Source organism: Homo sapiens, chromosome 5 (assembly GCF_000001405.40).
Source record: "Homo sapiens chromosome 5, GRCh38.p14 Primary Assembly".
Taxonomy (NCBI): Eukaryota; Metazoa; Chordata; class Mammalia; order Primates; family Hominidae; genus Homo; species Homo sapiens.
In genome coordinates this window covers 153,300,549-153,308,812 of record NC_000005.10, presented here as the reverse complement: position 1 = coordinate 153,308,812, position 8,264 = coordinate 153,300,549, and the positions used below count along the sequence as shown (strand labels likewise).

At 40.3% G+C, this 8,264-nt stretch overlaps 1 annotated feature.

Annotated features, from left to right (window-relative positions):
• Nucleotides 1,756-2,955: an enhancer, noted in NCBI's record as "P300/CBP strongly-dependent group 1 enhancer chr5:152685418-152686617 (GRCh37/hg19 assembly coordinates)". NCBI's record gives its function as "activates an origin of replication core promoter dependent on BRD2, BRD4, P300/CBP, MED14 and CDK7 cofactors, with strong dependence on P300/CBP, by STARR-seq in HCT116 cells {active_cell/tissue: HCT116}" and the evidence as "EXISTENCE:reporter gene assay evidence [ECO:0000049][PMID:35650434]".

Sequence of the window (8,264 nt, the reverse complement as noted above, 5' to 3'; positions counted from 1 at the left end):
TAGTTTACCTGAGAGAACCAGGGAAAGAGAGATATAAGAGCCCTCTTGGTGTCAGAAGAAACCTCAAAGACTACCTGTGCAAAGCTACCTGTGTAAAGAAGCCAAAATTTAATTAGAGTAGACTGCAGATTAATTTATGTTCTAGAATATTTTCTAAAACAATAGAGCAATTAGCTGGCAATTAGTGGAGCCTAATAGCTTGGAGTGATAACAGTGACAGAAGGCTTAACAGAAAGATCATGGAAAGAGAAACTTGAGAGAGCCTTGCTAAAGCCACTGGCATCCCAGGGTGACTATGCACGTGACCAAGGCTACACTCTGCAGAGTAGGATCAGAGGCTTCATGCTGTGGGGCAATTTGTAAAAACTGTAATATCTGCAAAGTGCAATAAAGTGAAATGCAATAAAACAAGGTATACCTGTATTTACACAGTGAAATAATGTTTGGCAATAAAACAGAATGAGGTACTGATATATGCTTAAACATGAGAGAACTTTGAAGACATTTTGCTAAGTGAAAAGCTAGTCATGAAAGAGTTTATATTGTATGATTCCACTTTTAAAAAATATAAGGTAAATCTACAGACACAGAAAGTAGATTATTTTCTCAAGGGTTGGGGTGTTGGATTAAAAAAATGGGAAGTGAGTGCTTTTTTGGCAGTGAAGAAAGTGAAGAAAATGTTTTACAATCATGATGATGGCTGTACAACTCTTTGAATTTATTAAAACTATTGAATTATATATTTTAGGTTGGCAAATTGCATGATATGTACATTGTATCTTTATTATACTGCTATATTTAAAAAAACGAAACCAGTAGTGTTCAGGAATGCATGCTTAGGTGGTGAAATTGTAAAACAAGTCAAGGGAGTGAATGCTATAAAACTCAGAATGTGGTTTCTTCTGTGAGAGAAAAGGGATTAAATTAGCGATAAAGAAATGTGAAAAGGAGGATGATTCTGGAGTGGTGTTTATTTCTATTTCTTGACCTAGATGGGTCAAGATGGTTACACACATCTTATTTTATAATAATACATTAGTCTGTCCATTTATGTTTTAAATATGTTTGTGTAGTTGTGTAATACTTCAGAGTAAAAATATAATTAAAAAATTATACAAAGGAATGAATTGGAAAGATGATGAAATTATGAGTGAGATAAACCCATTAATTGATCAGAAATGCAGGCGCACACATACTACTAGGAAGGGAGGTCTGGTTTAGCCAGAACCCCCGTCCTTCATATCAGATTATCCAGGAGATCTAATTGGGTTTCTCATCCTCTACCAAACTCAATCCCTAGTGATGTTTGATCAACCTGGCTTGTCTTTAGCAAGAATCCCACTAGGTCAGTTTAGCTAAAATTCCCTTTTATCTCTCATATTTCCTCTCAGTAATTTGTCATCCACTGATCCCCCACCCTTTGCTATATATTCCCAGTTGCCTATGTTGTATTTGGAATTGAGCCCAGTTCTATACAAAGGACTCCTTCCCTCTATTAGTCCCGAATAAAATCTATTTTTACCACTTTACTATCCAGCTGTACAGGTAAAAAGGTGTGATATGTTTTCTCACCTATAATAAGAGTCACAGCTGACATTCCTATAACAAAAGATAGGTTAATAAGAGGAAAGCATAACACTTTTATTTAATCAAAGTGTTACTTGATACAAGAGCCTTCAGAAATGAAGACCCAAGGACCCAGAGAAAACTGCCCTTTTTTATGCTTATGTTTAGTGAAGAATGGACAGCCAGGTGGAAATGTGATTGGACAAAAGGATATAATTTAAAGGTGAGAGAATGAGGGGGAAAACCCAGCAAGGCCTGCCTGTTCAGATTCTTCTTGACTTCTTTCTGTAACATTCCTTCTTTCTGGGTATAGGGCAGGATTACTCTGGAATGAGGGTCTTGAAAGGAGAAGAGAGAAGCGACTTTTTGGCTTTATGGCTGACTTCGGGGGAGAGGGGTTCTAATTTCTATGAACTGCCTTGCAGAAGAGTAATTTTGGTTTTGGTGAATTGCTTCAGGGGGAGAAAGATGGTTGGGAGACAGAAGAACAGGAGAAGATCAGACAGACTTTGCTTTTGAGGCCTTCCAATCTCCTTAGGTCAAAGTAATCAGCATACCAAAGTAATGTTCTTTGGGCTATCGTATTCTGAGCCCCAACACAGCTCTGGTTTTCTTTGACAGTAGCTAGCAATTTTCTTTCCCATTTTTCAGCTTAGAAAACAGAGGATCAGGCGGGGGGCAGCCAAGATGGCCAAATAGGAACAGCTCTGGTCTATAGCTCCCAGCGTAAGCAACGCAGAAGACAAGTGATTTCTGCATTTCCATCTGAGGTACCGGGTTCATCTCACTAGGGAGTGCCAGAGAGTGGGCACAGGACAGTGGGTGCAGCACACCATGCATGAGCCAAAGCAGGGCGAGGCATTGACTCACTCAGGAAGTGCAAGGGGTCAGGGAGTTCCCTTTCCTAGCCAAAGAAAGGGGTGACAGACGGCACCTGGAAAATTGGGTCACTCCCACCTAATACTGCACTTTTCTGACGGGCTTAAAAAATGGTGCACTAGGAGATTATATCCTGCACCTGGCTCGGAGGGTCCTATGCCCACGGAGTCTCTCTGCTAGCACAGCAGTCTGAGATCAAACTGCAAGGCAGCAGCGAGGCTGGGGGAGGGGTGCCCACGATTGCCCAGGCTTCTTTAGGCAGCCAGGAAGCTCAAACTGGGTGGAACCCACCACAGCTCAAGGAGGCCTGCCTGCCTCTGTAGGCTTCACCTCTGGGGGCAGGGCACAAACAAACAAAAAGACAGCAGTAACCTCTGCAGACTTAAATGTCCCTGTCTGACAGCTTTGAAGAGAGCAGTGGTTCTCCCAGCATGCAGCTGGAGATCTGAGAATGGGCACACTGCCTCCTCCAGGTGGGTCCCTGACCCCTGACCCCCAAGCAGCCTAAATGGGAGGCACCCCCCAGTAGGGGCAGACTGAAACCTCACACGGCCGGGTACCCCTCTGAGACAAAACTTCCAGAGGACCGATCAGACAGCAGCATTTGCGGTTCACAAAAATCCATTGTTCTGCAGCCGCTGCTTCTGATACACAGGCAAACAAGTTCTGGAGTGGACCTCTAGCAAACTCCAACAGACCTGCAGCTGAGGGTCCTTTCTGTTAGAAGGAAAACTAACAAACAGAAAGGACAGCCACACCAAAACCCCATCTGTACATCACCATCATCAAAGACCAAAAGTAGATAAAACTACAAACATGGGGAAAAAACAGAGCAGAAAAACGAAACTCTAAAAAGCAGAGCGCCTCTTCTCCTCCAAAGGAATGCAGTTCCTCACCAGCAACAGAACAAAGTGGGATGGAGAATGACTTTGATGAGTTGAGAGAAGAAGGCTTCAGATGATCAAACTACTCCAAGCTACAGGAGGAAATTCAAACCAAAGGCAAAGAAGTTAAAAACTTTGAAAAAAATTTAGACGAATGTATAACTAGAATAATCAATACAGAGAAGTGCTTAAAGGAGCTGATGGAGCTGAAAGCCAAGGCTCGAGAACTACGTGAAGAATGCAGAAGCCTCAGGAGATGATGCGATCAACTGGAATAAAGGGTATCAGTGATGGAAGATGAATGAAATAAAGTGAGAAGGGAAGTTTAGAGAAAAAAGAATAAAAAGAAAGGAACAAAGCCTCCAAGAAATATGGGACTATGTGAAAAGACCAAATCTATGTCTGATTGGTGTACCTGAAAGTGACGGGGAGAATGGAACCAAGTTGGAAAACACTCTGCAGGATATTATCCAGGAGAACTTCCCCAATCTATCAAGGCAGGCCAACATTCAGATTCAGGAAATACAGAGAATGCCACAAAGATACTCCTCAAGAAGAGCAATTCCAAGACACAAAATTGTCAGATTCACCAAAGATGAAACGAAGGAAAAAATGTTAAGGGCAGCCAGAGAAAAAGGTCAGGTTACCCACAAAGGGAAGCCCATCAGACTAACAGCGGATCTCTCAGCAGAAACCCTATATGCCAGAAGAGAGTGGGGGCCAATATTCAACATTCTTAAAGAAAAGAATTTTCAACCCAGAATTTCATATCCAGTCAAACTAAGCTTCATAAGTGAAGGAGAAATAAAATACTTTACAGACAAGCAAATGCTGAGAGATTTTGTCACCACCAGGCCTGCCCTAAAAGAGCTCCTGAAGGAAGCACTAAACATGGAAAGGAACAACTGGTACCAGCCACTGCAAAATCATGCCGAATTGTAAAGACCATCAAGGCTAGGAAGAAACTGCATCAACTAACGAGCAAAATAACCAGCTAACATCATCATGACAGGATCAAATTCACACATAAAAATATTAACTTTAAATGTAAATGGACTAAATGCTCCAATTAAAAGACACAGACTGGCAAATTGGATAAAGAGTCAAGACCCATCAGTGTGCTGTATTCAGGAAACCCATCTCACGTGCAGAGACACACATAGGCTCAAAATAAAAGGATGGAGGAAGATCTACCAAGCAAATGGAAAACAAAAAAAGGCAGGGGTTGCAATCCTAATTTCTGATAAAACAGACTTTAAACCAACAAAGATCAAAAGAGACAAAGAAGGCCATTACATAATGGTAAAGGGATCAATTCAACAAGAAGAGCTAACTATCCTAAATATATATGCACCCAATACAGGAGCACCCAGATTCATAAAGCAAGTCCTGAGTGACGTACAAAGAGACTTAGACTCCCACACAATAACAATGGGAGACGTTAACACCCCACTGTCAACATTAGACAGATCAACAAGACAGAAAGTTAACAAGGATACCCAGGAATTAAACTCAGCTCTGCACCAAGCAGACCTAATAGACATCTACAGAACTCACCACCAGAAATCAAGAGAATATACATTTTTTTCAGCACCACACCACACCTATTCCAAAATTGACCACATAGTTGGAAGTAAAGCTCTCCTCAGCAAATGTAAAAAAACAGAAATTATAACAAACTGTCTCTCAGACCACAGTGCAATCAAACTAGAACTCAGGATTAAGAAACTGACTCAAAACTGCTCAACTACATGGAAACTGAACAACCTGCTCCTGAATGACTAATGGGTACATAACAAAATGAAGGCAGAAATAAAGATGTTGTTTGAAACCAATGAGAACAAAGACACACCATACCAGAATCTCTGGGACACATTCAAAGCAGTGTGTAGAGGGAAATTTATAGCACTAAATGCCCACAAGAGAAAGCAGGAAAGATCCAAACTTCACACCCTAACATCACAATTAAAAGAACTAGAAAAGCAAGAGCAAACACATTCAAAAGCTAGCAGAAGGCAAGAAATAACTAAAATCAGAGCAGAACTGAAGGAAATAGAGACACAAAAAACCCTCCAAAAATTAATGAATCCAGGAACTGGTTTTTTGAAAGGATCAACAAAATTGATAGACCGCTAATGAGACTAATAAAGAAAAAAAGTGAGAAGAATCAAATAGATGCAATAAAAAATGATAAAGGGGATATCACCACCGATCCCACAGAAATACAAACCACCATCAGAGAATACTACAAACACCTCTATGCAAATAAACTAGAAAATCTAGAAGAAATGGATAAATTCATCAACACATACACCCTCCCAAGACTAAACCAGGAAGAAGTTGAATCTCTGAATAGATCAATAACAGGCTCTGAAATTGTGGCAATAATCAATAGCTTACCAACCAAAAAGAGTCTGGGACCAGATGGAATCACAGCCAAATTCTACCAGAGGTACAAGGAGGAACTGGTACCATTCCTTCTGAAACTATTCCAATCAATAGAAAAAGAGGGAATCCTCCCTAACTCATTTTATGATGCCAGCATCATCCTGATACCAAAGCCGGGCAGAGACACAACCAAAAAAGAGAATTTTAGACGAATATCCTTGATGAACATTGATGCAAAAATCATTAATAAAATACTGGCAAAGCGAATCCAGCAGCACATCAAAAAGCTTATCCACCATGATCAAGTGGGCTTCATCTCTGGGATGCAAGGCTGGTTCAATATACGCAAATCAATAAAAGTAATCCAGCATATAAACAGAACCAAAGACAATAACCACATGATTATCTCAATAGATGCAGAAAAGGCTTTGACAAATTTCAACAACCTTCATGCTAAAAACTCTCACTAAATAAGGTATTGATGGGACATATCTCAAAATAATAAGAGCTATCTATGACAAACCCACAGCCAATATCATACTGAATGGGCAAAAACTGGAAGCATTCCCTTTGAAAACTGGCACAAGACAGGGATGCCCTCTCTCACCACTCCTATTCAACATAGTGTTGGAAGTTCTGGCCAGGGAAATTAGGCAGGAGAAGGAAATAAAGAGTATTCAATTAGGAAAAGAGGAAGTCAAATTGTCCCTGTTTGTAGATGACATGATTGTATATCTAGAAAACCCCATTGTCTCAGCCCAAAATCTCCTTAAGCTGATAAGCAACTTCAGCAAAGTCTCAGGATACAAAATCAATGTAAAAAATCACAAGCATTCTTATACACCAATAACAGACAAACAGAGAGCCAAATCATGGGTGAACTCCCATTCACAATTGCTTCAAAGAAAATAAAATACCTAGGAATCCAACTTACAAGGGACGTGAGGGACCTCTTCAAGGAGAACTACAAACCACTGCTCAATGAAATAAAAGAGGATACAAAGAAATGGAAGAACCTTCCATGCTCATGGGTAGGAAGAATCAATATCATGAAAATGGCCATACTGCCCAAGGTAATTTATAGATTCAATGCCATCCCCATCAAGCTACCAATGACTTTCTTCACAGAATTGGAAAAAACTACTTTAAAGTTCATATGGAACCAAAAAAGAGCCTGCATCACCAAGTCAATCCTAAGCCAAAAGAACAAAGCTGGAGCCATCACGCTACCTGACTTCAAACTATACTACAAGGCTACAGTAAGCAAAACAACATGGTACTGGTGCCAAAACAGAGATATAGATGAGTGGAACAGAACAGAGCCCTCAGAAATAACACCTCATATCTACAACTGTCTGATCTTTGAGAAACCTGAGAAAAACAAGCAATGGGGAAAGGATTCCCTATTTAATAAATGGTGCTGGGAAAACTGGCTAGCCATATGTAGAAAGCTGAAACTGGATCCCTTCCTTACACCTTATACAAAAATTAATTCAAGATGGATTAAAGACTTAAACATTAGACCTAAAACCATAGAAACCCTAGAAGAAAACCTAGGCATTACCATTCAGGACATAGGCATGGGCAAGGACTTCATGTCTAAAACACCAAAAGCAATGGCAACAAAAGACAAAATTGACAAATGGGATCTAATTAAACTAAAGAGCTTCTGCACAGCAAAAGAAACTACCATCAGCGTGAACAGGCAACCTACAAAATGGGAGAAAATTTTCGCAACCTACTCATCTGACAAAGGGCTAATATCCAGAATCTACAATGAACTCAAACAAATTTACAAGAAAAAAACAACCCCATCAAAAAGTGGGCAAAGGACATGAACAGACACTTCTCAAAAGAAGACATTTATGCAGCCAAAAAATACATGAAAAAATGCTCACCAGCACTGGCCATCAAAGAAATGCAAATCAAAACCACAATGAGATACCATCTCACACCAGTAAGAATGGCAATCATTATAAAGTCAGGAAACAACAGGTGCTGGAGAGGATGTGGAGAAATAGGAACACTTTTACACTGTTGGTGGGACTGTAAACTAGTTCAACCATTGTGGAAGTCAGTGTGGCGATTCCTCAGGGATCTATAACTAGAAATACCATTTGACCCAGCCATCCCATTACTGGGTATATACCCAAAGGACTATAAATCATGCTGCTATAAAGACACATGCACACATATGTTTATTGTGGCACTATTCACAATAGCCAAGACTTGGAACCAACCCAAATGTCCAACAACGATAGACTGGATTAAGAAAATGTGGCGTATATACACCATGGAATACTATGCAGCCATAAAAAATGATGAGTTCATGTCCTTTGTAGGGTCATGGATGAAATTGGAAATCATCATTCTCAGTAAACTATCACAAGAACAAAAAACGAAATACCACATGTTCTCACTCATAGATGGGAATTGAACAATGAGAACACATGGATAGGGGAAGGGGAACATCACACTCTGGGGACTGTTGTGGGGTGGGGGGAGGGGGGAGGGATAGCTTTAGGAGATATACCTAACGCTAAATGA